Source organism: Homo sapiens, chromosome 11 (assembly GCF_000001405.40).
Source record: "Homo sapiens chromosome 11, GRCh38.p14 Primary Assembly".
In the NCBI taxonomy this organism is placed as follows: domain Eukaryota; kingdom Metazoa; phylum Chordata; class Mammalia; order Primates; family Hominidae; genus Homo; species Homo sapiens.
This window is the reverse complement of record NC_000011.10, coordinates 2887344-2909512: the sequence shown is the minus strand read 5'-3', so window position 1 is coordinate 2909512 and position 22169 is coordinate 2887344. Positions and strand designations below refer to the sequence as shown.

The following is a 22169-nucleotide window of genomic DNA, read 5'->3' as shown; positions in this document are numbered from 1 at the left end:
GCCCCTCCACAAGCCACGCCCCACGTCGCCCCCCACCCCCGTCCAGCCCTTAGGGCCAGACCCCGCGCGCACGCAGACCTCCCTGGAGGTGTCCCGGGTCCTCCGCAGGCTGCCCCCGACCCGGCCCCACCTGGACTCCAGTCCCCCCGGCCCTACCTGGCAGCGTGTGCATGAGCGCTCCGGGCAGGCGCGAGGCGAAGAGCAGGTAGACCCCGGGCAGGGCCGGGCTGGAGGCGGCCGCCAGGAGCAGGTAGAGCGCCAAGGCAGCCAGGAAGGAGAGCGTGAGCGCCGCCCGCGCCCCGCGCTGGTCTGCGAACCTGGGGGCCGAGGGGCGGGTCGGACCCTCACGGAGGCGGTCAGTGTCCCCTTCCCCCCGTCCAGGGGCTGCCCAGGCGGGGCTGACCAGGGAGGCTGGAGTGCGGGATGGGGATGGAGGGCGGGGGCGCCTGGGCGGCTGCTGGGAGGCCTCCCTCCTCTCAGGGCCTCAGTTTCCCCAGCGTCCCAGTGGGGCTGTGCGCAGACAGCTTCACTGAGCTGGGAGTCTGACCCAGGGCAAAGACCAACTCCGTGTAAAAATAAATGGTGGAATCCCAGGGGACCAAAGGGTGGGCCCGCGTTTTACAGAAGGCGTTTGTCAGGTTGGGTCTGAGAAAGCAGCGCCTTTCTCCCTTCTGTTCTGGGCCACTGGAAACCCTCCCAGAGATCGCTGCTGGTCTGCTGCCTGCGGAACCCTTCATTTCTGCCTACGGGTTGCTCTGAAGAGGCAACTCCCAATACGTGTCCCTTGCTCCCCTGTCTGCTGTGGCTTGTGGGAGGATGTCCCTGTCCTCTCTCAAGCTCAGTGTTCCCACAGCACTGAGACCCGGGGTGTATGGAGCCCCCAAAGTCCCTCCTGCCTGGTCTCGGCAGGCCTACGGGCTGGTGCTTACAGCCACGAGGTGTTCACCAGTCACACTCTCTCTCTGGCCACAGGCAGGAGTAGTGGAAGGCGTGGGTGGGACACCCGGGAGCCTACCAGGGGCCAAAGTTCTTCTGCACCCCCATCGGCCTGTGACACAGGAGTGCCGTCATCCCAGGGGGGTCCGGTGTGGGGTCAGGGAACCTGGCCCGTCTGAGCCCATGGCGTCTGAGAGGGGGCCTGGGTCACTGTGGGGAGAGCCCCTGTACACACACACACTGTACCTGCCAAATACCGGCCCGCCCAGCAGCTGCAGCACCCCGAAGGTGGTTTGCAGGTAGCCGAAGGCAATGGAATCCAGGCCCAGTTTCCGAGACAGGTACTGAAACACAGGAGGGAGCCCGGGGGAGGGGCTGGGAAAGACTGCAGGGCCTAGAATCTGGGGTCCCTGGATGGGCAGGGGGTGGGAGGGGACCGAGGGCCTGGGTTCTGTTGACTGCACAGTATGACCATCGAGGGGCCCTTCCCAGGGGGACCCTGCTCCTCTTCTCCTAGGCGGAAGCCTGTTGTGGTCTCTAAGGTCCTTGCAACTCCTCTCCTAGGCGGGAGCCCAGGGTGGCCTCTAGGGTCCTTCCCCTCTGGGGGCACGCCCCAGAGAGGCACCTGACCCCCACCATTTTGTCTTCATTCATTCAAAACTTTGTGGGGGACGCCAGCAGCAGTGTCCTGGCCAGCAACAGATTGTCCCAAGGCCCCCAAGTGACCTCCAAGAGGTGGCCCATTGCCCAGCAGGACACAGTCTGCTCTGTGAGGCCCCAGCCCTTCAGCCCCTCCGGAGGAGTAGGTCCATGACAGCATCCCTCCCAGGGACACCCTTATATCCTGCCCTAATTCTCTGTGATTTGGTCCCCCTGCAGCCGCTCCTCCCCCTGCCCCTGCCTCTGAGTTCCCGACTCTCCTTCCAGTGATGTAACTTATTATGGGCTTCATTGTGTACCCCCCAAATTCATATGTCTTAACCTCCAGAACCTCAGAATGTGACATTCTTAGGAAATGGGGTTAATCAGGTTACAGTGAGGACATGAGGGAGGGCCCTGATCTAATGTGACCCGTGTCCTCATTAGGAGGAGAATTTGGGACACAGACACACTCGGATGGATGACGTTGTAAAAATCCATGGGAAGACAGAGTGATGTGGCCACAAGCCAAGGGATGTCTGGGCTCCCAGGGGCTGGAAGAGGTGGGAAGGATCCTCCCCCGTGGGTTTCAGAGGGAGCCTTGATCTCAGACTTCTGGCCTCCCAAACTGTGAGACAATAGGCTTCTGTTGCTCTAAGCCCCCAGGGTTTTGGATACTTTGTTATGGCAGCCCCAGATGCTAATACACCGCCCCCGCCCCCTCCCCTGGACCTTTCCCTAAGCTCAGTCTTGGGGTCCCACTCCCCTTCTTTCCACTGTCCCCCTTGGTCCACACGAATTCTCCCCAGAGCACTTCAGTCCCAAGGGCAGTCGGTAACCCCCCCATCCCCAACCCCAGACTCCTTCTTCCTTCAGCTCCATCCCTGCTCCCTCGAGGATGGGAAAGCCCTCTGTCTGCCAGATCTCTCCTTTGTTTGTGAGCTTGACCTGACAATCACCCCACATTCCCCTAGTAAACCTCTGCCTCCTCCATCCCTCCCCTCCCCAGCGCCGCTAGTGTGAGGATGCTGAGCTTCTCTTTTTTTTTTTCTTTTCTCTCTTTTTGTTTTTTTATTATACTTTAAGTTCTAGGGTACATGTACACAACGTGCAGGTTTGTTACATATGTATACATGTGCCATGTTGGTTTGCTGCACCCATTAACTCGTCGTTTACATTAGGTATTTCTCTTAATGCTATCCCTCTCCCCTCCCCCCACCCCACGACAGGCCCCAGTGTGTGATATTCCCCGCCCTGTGTCCAGGTGTTCTCATTGTTCAATTCCCACCTATGAGTGAGAACATGTGGTGTCTGGTTTTCTGTCCTTGCGATAGTTTGCTCAGAATGATGGTTTCCAGCTTCATCCATGTACAAAGGACATGAACTCATCCTTTTTTATGGCTGCATAGTATTCCATGGTTTATATGTGCCACATTTTCTTAATCCAGTCTATCACTGATGGACATTTGGGTTGGTTCCAAGTCTTTGCTATTGTAGGTAGTGCCGCGATAAACATACGTGTGCATGTGTCTTTATAGTAGCATGATTTATAATCCTTTGGGTATATACCCAGTAATGGGATCGCTGGGTCAAATGGTATTTCTAGTTCTAGATCCTTGAAGAATCGCCACATGTCTTCCACAATGGTTGAACTAGTTTACAGTCCCACCAACAGTGTAAAAGTGTTCCTATTTCTCCACGTCCTCTCCAGCATCTGTTGTTTCCTGACTTTTTCATGATCGCCATTCTAACTGGTGTGAGATGGTATCTCATTGTGGTTTTGACTTGCATTTCTCTGATGACCAGTGATGATGAGCATTTTCTCATGTGTCTGTTGGCTGCATAAAGGTCTTCTTTTGAGAAGTGTCTGTTCATAGAGGATGCTGAGTTTCTCATCCCCAAGCCTGCCCACCTGTCCTCGCCTACCCAAGTCATCCTCCCTGCCTGCGTCACATCCCAACCTTTTGCCTCCTCAAGGGCAGGGCTCCCAATGTTCCTCTCTCCGTTTCTCTGCACAGTCCCCTTCTGTGGGGGCACCCACTGGACCAAGCTCCCAGTGCTCCTCTCTCCCCGTTTCTCTGCACAATCCCCTTTTGAGGGGGTGGCAATGGAGCATGCTCACATCCTGTTACTTCTCTTGCGTTCTCTTGACCCTCCCCTACAGCTACTCCCACATATTTGAGGGCGGAGCTCTGAGCAGCTGCCTCACCTTGCAGCCTCCTCTCTTTCCATCTCTTTCCTTCTCTCCCAGCCCTCGGAGCAGGCCCCAGGGGACTATACTATAAAGACACATGCACACGTATTTTTATCGCGGCACTGTTTACAATAGCAAAGACTTGGAACCAACCCAAATGTCCATCAATGACAGACTGGATTAAGAAAATGTGGCACATATAAACCATGGAATACTATGCAGCCATAAAAAAGGATGAGTTCATGTGCTTTGTACATGGATGAAGCTGGAAACCTTCATTCTGAGCAAACTATTGCAAGGACAAAAAACCTCCTGCTGTCTCCCCTCTCCCTGAGGTCCCCATTGACCCCACACTGCTGCCTCCAGTGGTCCGCTTTGGCAGGCCTCCCACTGGAGTGACAGTTGCCTTCGTGGCTTCTTCCCTCCTCCACGATGGTCTGCTGCTCTGGGCTGTGCTGGGTCCTTTGCCCCTCCTCCATCACCACTGCCAGTTCCCCCAGCTCATCCGACCTCCAGCCTCCCTGCCCTCTGGGGGAGCCCAGCCCATGACCGTCTCCATGCTGCAGGGCCCCAGAGCCTCTGTGCTGAACTGCCTTGTGTCCAGCTCCCTTCGGCTCTCCACTGGGGTCGAAAATCGTCTCAAACTCAACCCGTCCCCAACTGGGCTCCCATCTTTCCCTCTCCTCCTGTCCATGCCTCCTTCCTTATGGGCTCAGGCCCAGATCTTCAGTGCTCCCTGAGCCCTGCTTTCTCTCACACCCACTACAGTCCATTGACAACACATGCAAAATCCAGCCACCTCTCACCTCCTCCACAGCCATCACCAGCCCGGAGTTCTTTGAGCAGCAGGTGGGGTGTGGTCCCATTCTGGCCTCAACCGGTCCACTCTAGCCACTCTGCTCTCTCCACTGCCCCGGGGCCTCTCCTGCTTCCTTCCAGCCCTGCTCCAAGGTTGCCTTCTCTATGAGGAAGACCTCGCCCCCTTCCCACTGCAGCCCCTGTGCGTGTGGACCCCCAGCTCCGAGGGAGTGGGCTGTTGAGGATTTTTACACTCTGCAATATTTCAGGTTCTGACATCAGGGTCAGCTCCTGGGCACTCAGCACGGAGTTACTCCCCATGAGAGTCGATGGGTGGCTGAAGCCACTCCACCTGTGCTCTGTGCCCAGCTGTGGGAAGGGTTCTGACTTCTCATTCACTCTTCCCCGCACCAATCCTACAGGGAGGGACTGTTATTACCCATTTTATGATGAGAAAAGCAAGGCTCCTGCCCAGCCTTCCCCACGGGTAGGGAGGAGATTCAGGGCTTGGCCCCAGCCATTTAGCAGGAGTGGGCGGGGCGCCTGAGGCACGGCGGGGAGGGATCCTTAGGCTCACCCTCGGGCTGGGAGCCTCTGCCAGGCCCGGAATGGTGCCAAAGGCCCATCCCCACTCCCGCCTAGATGCCCAGGTCCAGGCTCTGAGGGCTGAGAGGAGGAGGGCAGCTGTCTGAGCCCACGCACGCCGGGCTTCCCAGAAGCAAACACAGGAAGGGCCGAGGTTGGCCCTGACTCTGCCTGAGCTTCTTGGTGATGTGAGACTTTGTTCCCAAGCCTCTCCAGACTTGGTGAATATAATTTAATCATTACTATTACAGCTTCCAGAGCCACACACTGTGGTATAGACTACTGAATGATACACTAAACTAACATGAATTTGCCAATGAAATGTTTCCGCATTTGGCAACAGAGATAATAAAATAAGACAGCATTCTATCTCTTGCAAGAAAAAGCTTGAGATCAATTTGCCGCCACAGATCATTTAGTGGACAACAAGGACCCAAGAAGATGGAGGGGAGAGATAGAAGCTGCGGGCAGGTGCAAGGAGAGCCTCTCTGAGGGGTGATCCGCCCAGAGCCACACCGGATTGAACAGCCCTTGGGGCAGGGACTCCAGAGGGCAAAGGCTGCCGGGTGAGAGGCAGGAGGAACAGCGCTAGGAAGGTTTGAGGAGGTGCTGCCCCCAGGAGGGAAGTGGGGTGGCTCCCCATGGCTTCTCCCGGGGCTGGCACTGAAGCTGGAGCACAGGATGTGCTGACGGGGGTCCAGAGGCAGAGTCCTTAACTTACTCAGCTTAAGCGTGGCATGAGTCCCAACTGGGAGGGGCCCTGGCAGCATGAAACCCCCACCCCCACTCTCTGCGACGGCCCAGATGGAGGGCAGGAGGAACAGCGGTTCAGCCCTGGCTGGGGCTGCAGGGGCTGGGGTGTGTTACTCACTGGCACGATGGAGAACTGCATGAAGAGGCAGGTAAGTTCTGTGGCGGCCAGCACGTAGGTAAGCAAGATGACCGAGGACCGGCCTAGAGCGCTCATCCTGCCGGGGGACCGGCCCTGGTCCCTGGGAGCCCGAGCTCCCTGCATCCTGGACAGGCGCAGCAGGGAGACCCAGGAGAGATCCAAGCAGGAGGCTGGCGGAGCAGGGGGCAAAAGTCCAGTTGATCCGGGCAGGGGTGCTGAGTCACTGGGTCCCAGGCAGCACCCGCCTGGCCTTGCCTGCAAGAGAGGACAGCACTGCAGGACCCCCTCCCCAGTGGAGCTCTCCTGCTACCTGGACCTTAGAGGACACATCAGGGGGTCCCCCTCCTCCACTTTTGACAGCTCTGGTCTCCAGGCACACAGCCTCCCGGGGAGGGGAGACAGGGACAAGCTGCTCCCCCCGACCCCTGCAGGTGGGCCAGGCTCAGTGCCTGGTTGCCTGACACAGGAATGTGCCATGCCCCACTTTTAGAGGGAGGCAGAGGCTCGGAGTGGTGGCTGAGTCCACCTCAAATCATCAGCGCCTTCTGTGGCCAGAGGGCTGATGTGGGTCCCTGTGCCTGGAGGCCCTCCGTAGGCCCACAGTGGCCCTGTCCCCAACACAGTGCAGCTCTCAGGGAAGGTCTACCTTCCCCTGTGGCCAGCAGCCAGAGCTCCAAGGGGCTTCTGGAATGGTCTTGCGTAGGGGAGACATAGCTCAGCCTTCCAGGCTCCCCAGTAGCTCTGCCTTACCTCCCACAGCGGAGTGCTGTCTGTCCCCACCCTTCCCCGCCCGGCCTCCAACTGGTGGGAACTGGATTTTGCGGCTGCAGAGGACTTCCCCAAATTTTGCCACATTAACAGCTGACTGCACATCTGAGCCCCGAGGTACCGAACCCAGGCTGGTGGGGTAGGGCGGGGAGACCCCTGAGGGTCCGGGAGCTGCGCCTGGCGCCCTCCCCCATCCCGGGATGCAGGGAGGCTGGGGGGAGCAGGGCAGCCGCAGCAGGCACGTCAGGGGCACCTCATTGGGCAGAGGTGCGACGCTGCGCCGGAGTTCGGGGTTCGGGGCTCAGAGGCCGCCCTCTCCGGAGTGTGCTCGAGTACCTGCCTTTGCAGGGGCGGGCTTGGGCACGGGTGCCGGTGGGGTGAGCGCTCCAGGGTGACCTAGACACCGGTCCTTCCGGGATGAGCCCCGGCCCCGCCCTTTCGGGAGATGACTTGCAACAGGGACCGCCCCTCTGGGTCTGAGTTCCAGCCCTCGCGCTTTGCAATCGCCAGTTCCGGGAGCGCCCGTGCCACGGTTTCTGCGCTCTCACTGGCCGAGCCCGCCCCTCCCCTCGAAGGACCCGCCCCTGCCCCGCCCACCAGCGGGCTCGCCCCGTGCCCGGCTTCGCCCGCCCCAGCCCCCTCCAGCTTGAATCCTGCCCGGTGCCCGGGCTGCTGGAGGTGGACACTCTGACCCTCAGGCAGCACCGGTGTCCACTTTGGGCCTGAGGAGGGGCAGTGTGGGCAGGGGATGGGACCGGGAGGTGGAGGGAAGGAGAGAATGGAGGGGAGGCAGGGGCGGGGAGAGAAAAGCGGAGGAATGGTGGTGAGGGGTTAGGGGAAGAAGTCAGGGGAGGTTGTAGAGGGTGTGGTGTAGCCTGGCCCTGCCAAAGGTCTGCACAGAGCCCCAGAAGAGTGACCAGGAGACAGCTCTGGGCCCCTCCTCACTTCCCTCCCCAGACCCGGAGGCTGCTAGGAGCAGTTGAGAGCCCACTTTTCCCCATTTCACCCTGCCTGCCACTTCCCCACCCTTGCAGGGGCCACCAGAGATGCCAGCACACAGGTAAACAAGCCTCATGCCGCCCTCCGCAGCAGGAGCCGCTGGAGCACACACACCCCACGCTGCGCACACTTGGCCCAAGCCCTGCCCTTGGCCTGGGCACCATTCTCCGTGCCCCTGACTGTCACTAAGTAGGGAGATGCTCATTCAGGACTCCTGCCCCACCTCCTCCCCAGGCAAGGGCTGGGCACAGGCTCAAATGTCAAAACCAGTGTCCCCCTGCCATGTGTCAATCATCGCTCCACAGAGCAGAAAACTGCAGGGGTGAGACAGGGTGGGACGGACATCGCAGAGGCGAGCGAGAGCCGGCCAAAGTCCTGGTGGGCAGGGGGGCCAGAGCCAGGTGGCCCAAGGCCGGCTGGCTAAGCCATTCCAAGTCACCGTGGGAGTGGTTCAGCAGCTACCCTTCGTTCAGCAGCTCAGATATGTTGGGCATCAGAAAACAATACCCCAAAATGAAGGCCTCAGAAGCAGCTTCGGAAGAAAAAGTGTTTCTCTGACCTTCTCTTGCTCTCCTGTCTCTCAGTGCCATTTTCCCCGAAGCTGGCCTTAGAAACTGGAATCCATTTTCCCCAGGGCAGGTCATAGAAATCAGAACCCCGCCTTTCCACACAGCCAGACATCAAACCTAAAAATATTGCTCTAACTTTCCCTCCACCTTTGTGTTTAGAAGCTGGCCATAAATTATCTGACCTCTCTTGTTTGACTGTAGGGCATAAGACCCCATTCCAGGAGGGTCCTGCTCCATGCCCAGAAGGAAGGAATGCTGCTCAGAAAGTTCAAGAAATCTAGACCAACAGCCCTCGCTGCGCTTCCCCTTGCGGTCCAGGAGCATTAGTGCAGGTCCCTTGGTTCATCTGTGTTCCCGCATGGATGTCCATACTTTGTTGAGCCTAAGCATCAGAAATGGCAATTTCCCCCATATCTTTTTTTTTTTTTTTTTTTTTTTTTGAGACGGAGTCTTGCTCTGTCACCCAGGCTGAAGTGCAGTGGCGCGATCTCGGCTCGCTGCAAGCTCCGCCTCCCGGGTTCACGCCATTCTCCTGCCTCAGCCTCCCGAGTAGCTGGGACTACAGGCGCCCGCCACAGCCCCCGCTAATTTTTTTGTATTTTTAGTAGAGACGGAGTTTCACCGTGTTAGCCAGGATGGTCTCGATCTCCTGACCTCGTGATCCGCCCCCCCTCGGCCTCCCAAAGTGCTGGGATTACAGGCGTGAGCCACCGCGCCCAGCCTGTTTCCCCCATATCTTTGGGTCTTTGTTCTGAAAACTCCCATTCACACACGTCAATCAATTTGGGGACCAAATGCCTTTTGTCCAATCAATCTGCCCTCTGTGAGGTGGTTTCTTAGCAAGCCCACGGGTGCAGTGTACCGCTCGAGGGGATTCCAGCCCAAAGAGTGCAAACGTGTTTGCATCTGGAGTGCGTGTCCCCAGATCCTCTGCCAAGCTCGTTTTCAAGAATAGTCACCACTGGCCGCCCTGGGGACTTGGGGAGAGTGCAGTCAAGCCGAGAGCCCAGGTCCAGCCAGAGTTTCCTGGAAGGACTGCACAGAAAGGCCGGCTGTGTAAGGTGGGGGTGGGTGACAGGAGTCTCAGAGTGTCTTAGATTTGGGACTCCTGGGGGAGGATGGGCATCCACATGAACCCTTACTCAATGGGGCAGGTGTGAGGGACTGTCCCCAACAGGTTCCAGACGCCTCCTGGGTTCCCTGGGGAGGGCTTAGAGGATGAAGCGGCAGGAGGAGATGGGATGAGTTACCAAACTGCCCAGAGGTGTGCGAGGGAGGCTGAGGGTCCTCTGGCGCTGAGGTGTGGTGGAGATGCTGGAAACTTACCACTGTCTTCCTCCAGGTGAAGCAGGGCCTCAGGTAGCCAGGGAACTGGTTGAGCAGAGGAAATCGGAGAGACCTTTTTTTTTGTCATGAACAGGCTCAGTGTGAATGGGGGAACTTCCTGGTTCTGAGGGAATGTGGGAAAATTGCCCTTTAGGCTGGGTGAAGAAGAAAGCAAGTGGAACCCTGGCACCCCTGGACTTCCTCCTCCAGAGGAAGCGGCTTTGGTTGTGGGCCAGCGAGCCTGTGCGTCCCCAGCCCCAGGGCATTCACCGCTTCAGAGAAGCAAGGCGACAGTTCTGCCGGATGAGAGGATCCAGGCTGACTGGAGGAAGGAAGGGCTTTGGCTCATCTGGGCTCAGGTTTGGGAGAGGTGGCTTCTCAGAGGAGGTGATGCCTCAGCCAGTCTTAAAGGTGAGCACGGATTGTTTGGGTATGGGAAGGGCATCCTGGCTGAGAGAATAGCATAGATAACGGCTTAGAGGTGAGCCCAGGCTTGGAGTGTTCAGGAAGCTGAGCCACTGGAAGGGGCTGGGACCAAGGGTGTACAGTGGGGTGACGGGGCAGAAAGTGAGTCTAGAGAGAGGGGTGACCCTGGGAGCGCTGGGCAGGGACACAGCCAGACGTGCACTGAGAAGTATTGCTCTGAACACTGCATCCTGGAGGCTGGGACCTCTGAGGGGTCTCCCGAATGAGAGGAGGCCAGCTTCAGAGCTGACCCCTGCCTACACCACTGCCTGGACATTTGAAATGGCTTTGGGCCTATCTTAACCCGACACACATTTATTAAGCACCTACTGTGTGCATGCCCCATGCCAGCTGTTTGGGACGTCAGCTGGCAAAGCTGACCGCCTGGTGGTAGCTTGCATCATTAGAGTGCATGTGCAGGCTTCGGGGAGGCACATGATCCCGGGTCACCACAATGCCTAAGGAAATGACTCACTGCCTATGAGCACTTGAGTTCTTCCTGTGTGTGCAGTGGACGCCGCTGCAGGGTTCTGAGCCCCTTCTGTTCTCCAAGGAGCCTCTGGCTGATGTGCTGATGAGGGGTTGAGGGGAGGGGCAGTGCAGGAGGTCTCTGCTGTGGTCCAGATGAGAGGTGGTGTGGACTTGGATGGGGCATGGGGGGATTTGAGGGGCAGGTTTGGAACCTCCCTGGAAGGAGGCCTGACAGGCTTCCTGCTGGTTGGGGCCTGGGCTGAGAGGGCCAACTGAGGGGGCCTTCAGGTGCGGCTGGGGGCGACATGAGGGGAGGCAACCCTGCAGGTCCATCCACGGGAGGGGCCTGTGGGCCAGCAGAGAGGGCAGAGTGTGCAGTGTGCAGTTTGCGGCATGTGGTCTGAGCTGGACGTGAGGGTGTCATTGACACTCATGTCCTGTTTAGAGCTCCCACCCTGGATGAGATGACCAGGAGTGGATGGGGCTAGAGAGGAGAGGGGCCAAGGGCCAAGGCTGGACCCCAGCATGAGGAGGAGGTGCCCAGGGTTCTGACCAGGGAAAGGGAGGGAAAAATAAAGGAGCTGGGTCTGGAGAGAGAGGCAGGTAAGCGAGTGAAGGCCTGGGAGCTTCCCTGGGGCCGAGAGCTGGAGTCACTGGTGGCTTTGGCAAGAGCGTCATGAGCATGGGGGCTGACCCTCGGGATTCAAGCAGGAGGAATGGGCTGGACACCCTTCTGAAGGGTTTTGCACCAAAAGGGGGCTGAGAAATGGGACTGTGGCTGGAGGGGAAGTGGGATGAAGAGAGAGAACCTTTGTTTACAATTTTAAGATTTAAAAGAGTGATGCTGCAGAGAACGGAAGGGTGATGTGGAGGGAGCGGGGAGGGTCTGGCCTTCACCATCCCTCCATGATTCTGCAGAGGACTGAAGGGTGACCTGGAAGGAGCGGGGAGGGCTCTGGCCTTCACCATTACTCCATGATGCTGCAGAGGACAGAAGGGTGATCTGGAAGGAGCGGGGAGGGCTCTGGCCTTCGCCATTACTCCATGGGTGAAGTGAACGTGTTCTCCTTGAGGCTTTGTACTCTTACTCCTATGATTCTCCAAGGACCTGTCTCAATAAAGCCAACAAGGTTTTGCCTGGGGCGGGACTAGAGCGGAGGCAGGGTTGGATGTGACTCCTGCCCGCCCGAACCTCGGTTCCCGCCCACCTTACACCTTCTCAGCCAGGTGAGGTGCGGTTGCAGACCTTGGTCAATGGGGGCTGCCTGGATCCCACAGTGGGATCTGTGTCTGACACCCTGCTGGGGCTCTGTCCCAGCACCCCAGGCTTTGTATGTGTTGTCTTGGGAATCACAGCCTTATGAGGGGCCTTCAGCCTGCTGTGGGCACTGGGTGCCTGGCCTCGGCTTCATCTGGGAGGTGTCAGGTTAAGAGTCTGGGAGGCTGGGTTCAAAGGTCCTTCACCCCCTGACCTGGTATCCTTGGGACCCAGGGGTCAGCCTTCAGCCCAAAGGGGCTAGGCTTGCCAGGTAGCCCTGCGGGGGGCCTGGTGGTGCCCATGCTGTCTCTCATCTGCTAGGCCCCGGCTGTGCAGGTGCACGTGAGGAAGTGGGCTGTCAGGTGCTGAGGAACCTTCTAGAACTGGACTCTGAATGCGCTTCTGGGATTGGAGGTTGGGCAGAGACTTCTAGGAGGAGGGGCAGGGGCTGGACCTCATCCAGGGCTGGTTCTTGCCGGGCTGGGCATTGGGCTCAGACACATCCCATGAGAGGTGTGTGGAATTGTGGCCTTTAGGGCCAGGGCCCCGGAGGAGGCTCTGCCAACAGGGGCTTCTCCACTGGCCTCTAGTGAACCAGGGAACCCAGACGGGCTTAGGGCCAAGGGCCCAGTCCCTGACACCAGTGTCCAAATGGAGGGAGGGCAGCAACGTGCTATGGGCTTTGGGGAGAGTCCTGTGGTCCTGGATGGGTGAGCACTCTCCCCTCACTGGGCTCCACTGTGGGCCTGGACCTGGGGCTCCAACATGGTGGGCTGTGGTTCACGTATTTGTGTTCACGCTGGCCAACAGCCACAGCTGAAGGAGATAAAGGCCCAGATGGCAGCATGGGGGAGGCGTCCAGTGTGGGGCCTGAAGACTGGAGCCCTTGAGGCCTTTGGGGGACAGTGAGAGTGTAGTCTGGAGTAGCCCACGTCCCCTTTCTCATACCACAGGCCAAGGGACCAGAGGAGATGGGTGGTGGAGCTGGGACCCTGCTCTAGGAAGCTCACTCATTGCTTGGGGGAGACCTGGTTTGCTCGGGACTGAGGAGTTTTGGGATGTAGGACTTCCCATGCCAAAATTGGGACAGCTCCGGACAAACTGGGTCACCCTCCCCTCATAGGACCCTTGGAGGCCAGAGGGACTCTCTCCGGTCCTTGACCTGGAGGCAGGAAGGGACGATGGTGGAGGTTGGGGAGGTAGCCAGGCAATGGCATAGGAACTGGGAACTGCGGGGTGGTGGGCCCAACCTGTGGACTCCCTTGAGGGATGCCTTGCCCGACCTCAGGACTCAGGAAGAAGGAAGAAGGAAGAACAGCCCTTGCAAAGGACGGATGTCCATCCGGGGAGGCAGGGGGAGGAGCCAGCAGCTGGCGGTCCCAGGCTGGCAAGGGCTGTGGTGGGGTGTGTGCACATGTGTATGTGTGCATGTGAGCATGTGTGTGCATGTGAAGGGCATCGTGGGATCAGGAAGAGATGTGCCTCCGAACGGGGTCCTGAGAGAGCAGCCTCACACCTGCTCACCAGCCAGAACTGGGAAACTCAGGCAGGATGGGTGGCATGGCCACCAGTGCCTCTGTCCCCCCACAGGCACCTGCCCGAGGGCCTGGAGCTTAGCTACTGCCCATCTCTTAGGTACACACGTCTCCCTCAACCGCAGCCTCCTTTGGTCCCAGTCCCTTTCCCCCACCCAGGAACAAAGGACAGCCCCAAGCTCTCACCATCCAACCCACATCCATGTTCTCTTTATTTTATTTTTCATAAGACAAGGTCTTGCTCTGTCATCCAGGCTGCAGTGCAGTGGTGTGATCATAGCTCACTGCCACCTTGAACTCCTGGGTTCAAGTGATCCTCCTGCCTCAGTCTCCCTGGTAGCTGGGACTGCAGATGAATACCACCACACCCAGCTAATTAAAAAAAAATTTTTTTTTTTATAGAGACAAGATCTTGCTATGTCGCCTGGGCTGGTCTTGAACTCCTGGCCTCAAGTGATCTTCCCACTGGAATTACAGGCATAAGCCATAGTGCCCAGCCTCCAGGTCTTTTAGAACCTTCAGAATTCAGTAGGGAATCCAGAAAGAAGCAGGAAGGATTTCCAAGAAGCAAGAGGAGAAGTCGCAAAACCCATGCAATTACTTCTGACCCTTGGAGGCCTCTCAGCTCTCACCTGTCCTCCCTGCCCCTAGACTTGCTGGCAGCTTCAGGGAGCCTGGCTATTTGGTTTCCACCGGGGGCAGCCACACTGGCATCTCAGTGAGGTGTAGCAGCCTCCCTTCCCTGCTCCAGGCACCCTGGACATGGCTGGGTGAGTTTCTAAAACTCTGGTGGTTCCCACCCTGGACCTCTGGTGACACTGCTGTGTTCCTGGGGCAGCCAGCCCTGGAGCCCTGGCCCCTCAGCCCCCACTGGATCATGCCACATTTTGCAAACCAAAGAAGCATGAGAGATAGAGAGCTCCAGCTTCAAGCACTGTCTGCCCTGCACTCATCTTTGGATGGGTCTCTGCCTGTGTCCCCTGCCTGGAATGGTCCCCTTGCCTGTACGTCTCTTCCCTTCCATCCTTGGATCTTGGCACAAGTCGTTGCCCTGAAAATCCCCCGTCCCCTCCTTCATCATACAACCTGGGCACCACCCTGCCTTGTATACTTATTTCTGCTTCTGCCTGCCCACCCGGAAGCCCCTGAAGGCACAGTTGCCCCTGAGGTCCCAGGGAGATATTGCTGAATGGACGGACAGACAGGTGAGGCCATAAATCAGACACCCTTAGTCCAGGCCTCAATTTGACATTTGAGGAGGAGGCACTGCTCAGGCCGCCAAGCCCAGGCCCAGGTGCCCAGACACCCTCAGCAACATCTGCCAGGCTGCCATGGCTAATACCCAAATACAGGGCCCTGCGAGGTGGCTCATGCTTGTAATCCCAGCACTTTGGGAGGCTGAGGCTGGCAGATCACTTGAGGCCAGGAGTTTGAGACCAGCCCAGCCAACAAGGCAAAACCCTGTCTCTACTAAAAATACAAAAAATTGGCTGGGTGTGGTGGCGCATGCCTGTAATCCCAGCTACTTGAGAGGCTGAGGCATGAGAATCGTGAACCTGGGAGGCGGAGGCTGCAGTGAGCCAAGATTGTACCACTCCACTCCAGCCTGGGCAAAAGAGTGAGACTCTCTATCTCAATAAAACCCAAAAACTCCCCCAAAAAGCAAAAACCCAAAAGCAAATACAAATAAGACCCCACATAAGCTCAATTCACTAACTGCTTCAAATTAAAACCTGGGGTAACCCAGGGAAGGGGGCAGCTGTAGATAGGGCTCAGCAGGGGGGCCCCAATCTTAAAATCCCCAGCAGTCAGCATGCGTGCCAGAGGCCTGTGCTTATGACAGGGCCCAGCACTCTGCAGCCAGCCCCACCAGGCTGGCATCTTCACCACTGACCAGGGCTTGCCTGGGTCTGGAACTCTTGAGCCTCAGTTTCCCCATCTGTGAAATGGGGACAACGTTAATCCCTGCCTCACGGGATGCTTGTGAAGATTAGACAAGATCATTTGCACATCAAGTGCATGGCATGAGGCTGCCTGGCAGAAAGGGTGTGCTGCAGTGGCAGCTGGTACTGACCAGCAGCTAGGGGATGGGGCCACTGCTGGGTGCTAGGCACGTGTGCCTCAGTGCTCACTCAGGGCTGGCGTGAAGACTGATGCATGAGAGTCGGAGTGACCTGTATCCCATGGACTGTCCTGAACTCTGACAAAGGTGGGGTTCACTGCCCAAACTGCTCATCATGTAGATAACATTTCATCCTAGGCTTGGCACGGTGGCTCATACCTGTAATCCCAGCACTTTGGGAGGCTGAGGCAGGTGGATCATGAGGTCAGGAGTTTGAGACCAGCTTGGCCAACATGGTGAAACCCCGTCTCTACTAAAAATACAAAAATTAGCCAGGTGTGGTGGCAGGCGCCTGTAGTCCCAGCTACTTGGGAGGCTGAGGCAGAATTGCTTGAACCTGGGAGGCGGAGGTTGCAGTGAGCCAAGATCGTGCCACTGCACTCCAGCCTGGGCGACAGGGTGAGACTCCATCTCAAAAAACAAACAAACAAACCAAACCCCTTTCACCCTGCCTGCCTGTTTACATGGCAGGGGTGTAGGTGCCTTTCCTCCCCGCCAGCCCACATCTCTGGGTATAGAGTGAATGTCCAGTTTTCATTACAGCACAGCTGGAGGGGTGGCCAGTGGCAGCTCTCTGCCCTGCCTGCCCCTCTAGGTTGGAGGGAGAGGCTGATGATGGTGAGGGTAGTGGCATCCTCAAGAGGAAGGCCGCTGTGCCAGGCACATACTGACTTGCCCTTTAAGCCTCATCAGAAGCTTTACAGATGAGAAAGAAGAGGCACAGAGAGGTTAAGCAACTTGCCCAAGGACACACAGCTAGTAAGAGGCAGATGCTCTGCCCAACTCCACAGCCTACTTGTTTGCTGCTGGCCAGGCAGTGCCTGTCCCCTGTTCCCCATACTGTTCCCCTTGCTGGGCCAATGCTGAGGAGCAGGTCTGATAGCCTCCAAGGTGAAGCCAGCTCCTGAGCTGCAGCCCCAAGCCCTGCAGCCCTCTCCAGCGCCCTCCCCTGGGCCCATTCTCTGCTCACTCTCTGAGCTCGGCCTGTGTGCCGCCACCTCCCTAACCACTTCCCCAGCTGCCCTGATTGCTGGCCCCCAGCTCCCAGCCAGAAGCAGGACTATGATTCCTTGTTGTTCCGAAGCAGCCAGGGCACAGTTGTGCTCAGGACTGAAGGGTGTGAGTGTCCATACGTGCCCAGGCAGTGACCACGCGGTGGGCAGGTGCAGGCCCGACACAGAGGCTGCAGCCTCGGGGCTGGCTGTCACCTAGGGGCTCCGGGCAGCAGCGCCAATGGCGGGAACGAAGGCAGAGGGCGCCGGGCTGCCGGCCGGGCCTGCGGGGGGATAGGGCAGGAAGAGGAAGAGGAGGAGCTGGGGATGAGGAGGGAAGGAAGGAGGAGGGAGGGGAGGAGGGGCAGGGGGAGCAGAGAGGAAATGGGGGAGGGGCGGCAGGGCGGGTACCCACCTCTCCGCAGAGCGGGCTCTTTGTCTCCCCTCCCCCACCCCCTGGAGACGGGCGAGGCCCACGTGCTGTTTCCCACTGAGGTGCGAGTGACACCGCCCCACCCCCAGATCCGAGGGGTGTTGGGGTTTGTGAAAAATGCGCTCCTGCCCGCTGCAGCCCGGACAGCCACACTGGGCAGAGCCCCCATCTTACACTTGAGGGGACTCGGGGCCAGAGAGCAAGGCCCTGGCCCAAGTCACCCCCAGGTGTGAGGCATGAATGAGGTGGGTGGGGGTCCTGGTGGCTGTGCCGTTTCGGGACGCCAGGGGGCAGCAGGCGCCCAGCTTCAGCCCTCAGGCTCCAGGCTCCAGTGGGCGGGAGGCTGCTTGGCTTCTGGCTGCCCCTGCGGCTGGGGAAGGGGGCACGGGCAACCTCTTGGTTGAGCATCTACTCTGAGCAGCCCTCGCCTGTGGGGTGCAGCCACCTGGGAGTGTGTTAACCTGGGAGGCCGCCAGGGCAAGCCTGCCGTCACCTCCTGGCCTCTGCGCTCGGTCTGGCCAACTGCCCTGGCTTCAAAGCTCAGCCAGGAGGAGGTGGAGAATGGGAGGGAGGAAGGAATGAAGGAAAGAAGGAAGGAGTTAAGTGTTGGGGGCTCCCCTCCTTCTCTGACCCTGGAGGTCAGTGGGGCGGGACCCCAGCCCAGGGCAGGAGGTGGCTTCACTGTCTCTGACTTGCTGGGGGACCCTAGGCCGGTCACTCCACCTCTCTGGGCCTCAGTTTCCTGCACAGGAAAGTAATAGGATTCAGAGAGGTCACGCCATGTAGCAGGCGCTTTTAACTGACATCTGAAATACAGTCTCCCTCAAGGCCTGGGAAGCCCCTTCACCCCCGAGGGCCCAGTAGGGGTGAGGCTTCCTCAGTAACTGCAGGCCCCTCCTCCTGCAGTGGAGGAGGGAGTGGTGGGGTGCATCTGGGGGCCCTCATGCCACCTCTCTGGAGGCATCCCCACTCTCTGGCATTTCAAATAGGCCCTGAGCTTCTCTGAACGCTGTGGCTTGGGTGTGGAAAGCAGGGTGGGAGGGAGTGGCTTGGAGAGGCTTTGAGGCCCTGGCGCCCCCCGTAGGCAGGAGATGCTGGTCACAGGGGTCTCCCCGAGCTCCAGCAGGAAGTCAGGGGGCTTGGTGGGAAGGGAGATCTGCTCACACCAGATTTGTTTTTCCTGCTGTTTCCCTGATAAAGTGAGCCACTGGGCCTGGGACCCCTGTGTCTGTGTCCTGTGGATTGGCAGGGAGAGGAGGAAAGGCCTGGTGGGCTCAGAGCTGGCTGCAGGGGTGTCTGACATAGGTCCCCACATGTCCTTGAGACCCTCCTCGGTACCTGCTTCCTAGCCCGGGAGCCCCCTTCCTAGCCCAGAAAGGCGCCGTGTGAAGCCCACGATGACCAGTGGCCCTCGGTTTCCTGGAACATTCAGTGCCGAAACCAGCAGTCTCAGGCAGGCTGGGACCAGGGGGTCCCTCTCTTCCAGACCCCAAGGGAAGCAGCCCCTGGTCCCGTTCTGGAGCAGGGGTGACTGTTCCCTATTCCCACTGGGCCTCTCCTCAGGGCCTGCCCAGCTCCGCCCATCGGTTCCTGGGGAGTGAGGACCCCTGGCCGGAACCCCCAGCACAAGGCAGTCCCTGTAATCGGAGCTTGTGCCGCATGTGGCCACGTCACCGCAGGGAGGCCGGCACCTGCGGAGGACGTGCCTGGCAGCCGCCCCAAGAACAGCCTGTCCTGGGGGGCGGGGCGAGCCTTGCGCGCGGGGAACTGGTGCGGGGGAGCTCTCCTGGCCCAGCATGGCCCCCCGCCAAGTGTGTGCTGAGCCGCCTGTTGCGGGAGGGGGGGCCTTGGGTTAATCTGTCACTCCCCATGCCCCTGGGGCCTCTGGGCTGGATGACTCCCCACCCCATCTTATGGATGGGAAGGTGGAGGCTCAGTGGGGGCAGGGAGCTCTGGGGCCTTTGGGGGCACAGCCAGTCAAGCTCCTGTCCAGGGCTGGTCTGAGGACCTGCTGCTGGGTGATGTGGTTTGAGGCCAAAGGGGTGGCCTTTCCAGAGTCAGGCATCCCTGGGCAGGGTTGTACCCTGCACAGATGCCCAGCCCTGGCTCTAGGGCTTGGGGTGGGAGATGTCAGGGGAGATTCCCAGGGCCCTTGACTTCTTTCTTTTCCTGCTTTCTTGTGCCCTCACAGAAGTCCTATGGAGGGGCTCAGGCTGGGTGAAAGGCAGGGCCAACCTCAAGTCTCAGTGACCTCAGGCAGGTGGCTTAACCTCTGGGAGCCTGAGTCCCCTCCCTTGCAAAATGGGCACGAACACACCTCCCTCTCAGGGGTCTTGGAAGGATTAAATGAGGCAACGAGCCCAGCCCTGGGTTAGGGCAGGGCCCTGAGCAGGCACAAGATGAAGGCAGCAAGTGTTGTCATTGTTTATAATATCCCTCTGGTCCTCTCCACAGGGCACCACCTGGGGAGCAGCTGGGGAGGCAGCCGGGAAGGGCACAGACACCTCTTGCAGGGTCCCTGGGGTGCTGTGGGAGGGTGGTACTGCTGAGGGCAGGCTCCGGGTACCTGGAGACTCTCTAGTGGGCCCTGGAACAGCACAGATTCAGATGGTGTCCAGCCCTCACCTCCTACCCACCTTGACCCTGTGCCTGCAATCCCCAGCCCTTTGTGATTGATGGGTGATATGGGGCCCATGGCTCAATGGAACATTCTTTGAGGCCTTCGTTTGTTTGAAGACAGATAGCTCAGGGCCTCAGAACCCAGGGAACAGGCCCGAGGCAGGTTTCACCATGGGTCAGAGGGGAAAGAAGAGCTCCCGGCCTGTCCTTGGTCACTCCCTGATAGGGGCCATTGGCCCACTGGCCGGGTGTCCTGTGTCCCAGAATTTGGGTTCCCTGGGGCTCTGGGTAGGGATTGGGCCTAACCTAGGACGGGCATTCCTAGCCCTGTGAAGCCACCTGCGGCACACATTCCTGATGGGGCCATGAACATGCCGACAAGGCAGCTGTACAGCTGCCACACCCGGGAAGGGGAGGCCTCGGGCAGCCGGGGAGGCACTGGAGTGGAGGTCACCCGCCAGAAAGCACATGTGGCCAAGGACATGGCTTCCTGGGCCTACCCTCGTTCTGCTACTCATGGACCAGTGTGTTTGCCTCTGGAAGCCTCTGTCTCCTCGGCTGTAAAGCGGGCCTACGACATTGACCGACCACCCATGAGGTTGTGGTGAGGACTGGCCCATGGGTGGCCCCTGGGAAACAGCTGGCTTAACGATTCCAGCACGAAGATCCACCAGGATTGGGACCTAGGCTTCTCTGGCTTCTGGGTCTTTCCTAGAAGGAACGCACAGCAGTGAGGGCTGCAGGTTAATCCTGCCTTAACTGCTTGGGCAGCAAGTTTTTCTTTTTCTTCTTCTTCTTTCTTCTTCTTCTTCTTCTTTTTTTTTTTTAGAGGGCGTCTTGCTCTGTCGTCCAGGCTAGAGGTAGTGGCACGATCACGGCTCACTATAGCCTCAACCTCCTGGGCTCAAGCAATCCTCCCACCTCAGCCTCCCGAGTAGCTGGGACCACAGACACGTGCCACCACACCCAGCTAATTTAAAAAATATTCGTAGAGATGGGGTTTCTCTATGTTGCCCAGGCTTGTCTGGAACTCCTGGGCTCAAGCGAGCCACCTGCCTTGGTCTCCCAAAGTACTGAGGGTATATAGGTGTGAGCCATGGCTGCAGTAAGGTTTGAATCTTCTCAAGCCTTGGTTTCCTTGTCTGTAAAAGGCCAACTGAAATCTACCTATGCCTTCCCTATGTATTAGGGTATGTAACGCCCCACTGTGATGGACAAGCCTACATTTCTAGTGGGTTAAGATGCAATAAAAGTTTATTCTTTGTGCCCAACACAGGCAATGCGGTGTGCAGAGGGTGCTTGGTGGTTCTCTCCTGATGGCCCCGCAGGGTCTGCAGCCTCCATCTGGCCAGCAGAGGGCGCAGAAGGACTGCCTGGGCAGCTCGGACGTGACCGCCTGGAAGTGGTGTACAGCGTTCCTGACAACGTTCCCGGCCAAAACGGGTCCCGCCGCCCACTTGTGTGCAAGATAACTGGAAAATGTCTTTCTGTGTGCTCCGAGGAGAATGCAAAGGCTGGTGGATGTAGTGCCTTTCCTCTACTGCTCTCTCAGCTGGGGGCAAGAATGACAGGACGTGAACATGCACACAAGGGCCCGGAACTCACGACCCCCGACAGCGGTCTCCCCCGCCCCCCCAACCCCGCGCTTGCAGGATTTAGGGCACTAGCACAGCACAGTCCACCCCTTGGGACTAGCACCCCCTCCGCAGTTCTGCTCTCTGCAGCAACATAGAGTACAAATATTGTTCCTTTTGTTTCTTTTTTCCCTTTGGATACATTTTTAATTACAAAAATAGAGCTTGATTGTTGCACCTAGACAGATGTTTGCTTGCTTCTGGGCCCATTGGGCCTCCTCTCAGAGCCTGGAACTCCCAGCCCCCAGCTCCTGGGGTGCCTTCCTCCAGGTGTGTCCCTGGCTTGGGCTGGGGGGACACAGCCCCGCTCCTGGGACGTGCAGGTTTAAAATGCTATTGGGTACCATCTTTGATCGAATTCAGAGTGACAGACTTAGAGCAGGTCACCTCTCAGCTTCTAACGAGGCCAAGACGGAGGAATCCCCACAGCACTGGGTTTGACTCTGTAATTAAGCTGGTAAAGTGGAAAAATAAAAGTAGGAAACCTAAGTGGAAACCAAACCAGAAAGCCAGGCAGCCCGGGAGTTCTGAGCCCTGCTTCCTTCCAGCTGTGCGGCCTCAGCGGCTGACGCGGTCTCTGCTGCTCTTCTATAACACAGGATGATGGCAGCTACACCCTCTGAGTGGTGTCACCAAGGCCAATGAGTCCTGATGGTTGGAGTGTGGGTATCCGGGGGCCTCTAGGTCACTACCCACTCTAGCCCTTTGCTCCTAGTCTCTGGGGAGGTGGCAGCATAGGGGCATGGAGCAGACTAGACTTTGCCTCTTTCTGCCCCCAGGCCAGTTGATATGAGCCCTGCTTGAGGGGTTCGCAGGGCCTGGGGAGCCTTCTTCAGCTTCTCTTTGTTTTCCTAAGATGAAAATTGTGACATCTGGGCTTGTTGCGGGAAATTTGTAAATTGTGCACAGAGAAGAATATGAAATTGCACATAAA

General features: G+C 58.3%; 1 protein-coding gene and 1 long non-coding RNA gene across 9 annotated transcripts in view, besides 3 other annotated features; one reads left to right on the top strand and one right to left on the bottom strand.

Annotated features, from left to right (window-relative positions):
- Positions 1-9822, bottom strand: part of SLC67A1 (solute carrier family 67 member 1) — a 25556-nt gene extending 15734 nt beyond the window's left edge. For 3 of the 7 annotated variants that reach the window (NM_001315501.2, XM_011520141.3, XM_011520142.3), the window contains exons 1-4: positions 6795-7093; positions 6024-6299; positions 1183-1280; positions 157-317 (exon numbers count right to left, since the gene is read on the bottom strand). In NM_001315501.2, the coding sequence (NP_001302430.1) occupies positions 157-317; positions 1183-1280; positions 6024-6299; positions 6795-6917 (658 nt within the window). In that variant the 5' untranslated portion in view covers positions 6918-7093. Of the gene's footprint in view, positions 1-156; positions 318-1182; positions 1281-6023; positions 6300-6794; positions 7236-9706 lie in introns of those variants that run through there. The other 4 variants (NM_183233.3, XM_047427033.1, NM_002555.6 and 1 more) reach the window with 4 other exon arrangements.
- Positions 5547-6048: an enhancer, noted in NCBI's record as "H3K4me1 hESC enhancer chr11:2924695-2925196 (GRCh37/hg19 assembly coordinates)". NCBI's record gives its function as "activates a minimal SCP1, AML or CMV promoter by ChIP-STARR-seq in naive H9 embryonic stem cells {active_cell/tissue: H9 hESC(naive)}" and the evidence as "EXISTENCE:reporter gene assay evidence [ECO:0000049][PMID:30033119]".
- SLC67A1-AS (SLC67A1 antisense RNA) lies at positions 5938-22169 on the top strand. Of its 2 annotated transcripts, NR_169304.1 has the most exons (4): positions 5938-6054; positions 6804-6929; positions 9723-10117; positions 20878-22169. It is a non-coding gene; the product is annotated as an SLC67A1 antisense RNA (long non-coding RNA). The 2 variants fall into 2 exon arrangements; NR_169305.1 differs by lacking the exon at positions 9723-10117.
- Positions 6974-7103: a silencer, noted in NCBI's record as "silent region_3074". NCBI's record gives its function as "represses an Ori minimal core promoter by ATAC-STARR-seq in GM12878 lymphoblastoid cells {active_cell/tissue: GM12878}" and the evidence as "EXISTENCE:reporter gene assay evidence [ECO:0000049][PMID:35858748]".
- Positions 16879-17678: an enhancer, noted in NCBI's record as "H3K27ac-H3K4me1 hESC enhancer chr11:2913065-2913864 (GRCh37/hg19 assembly coordinates)". NCBI's record gives its function as "activates a minimal SCP1, AML or CMV promoter by ChIP-STARR-seq in primed H9 embryonic stem cells {active_cell/tissue: H9 hESC(primed)}" and the evidence as "EXISTENCE:reporter gene assay evidence [ECO:0000049][PMID:30033119]".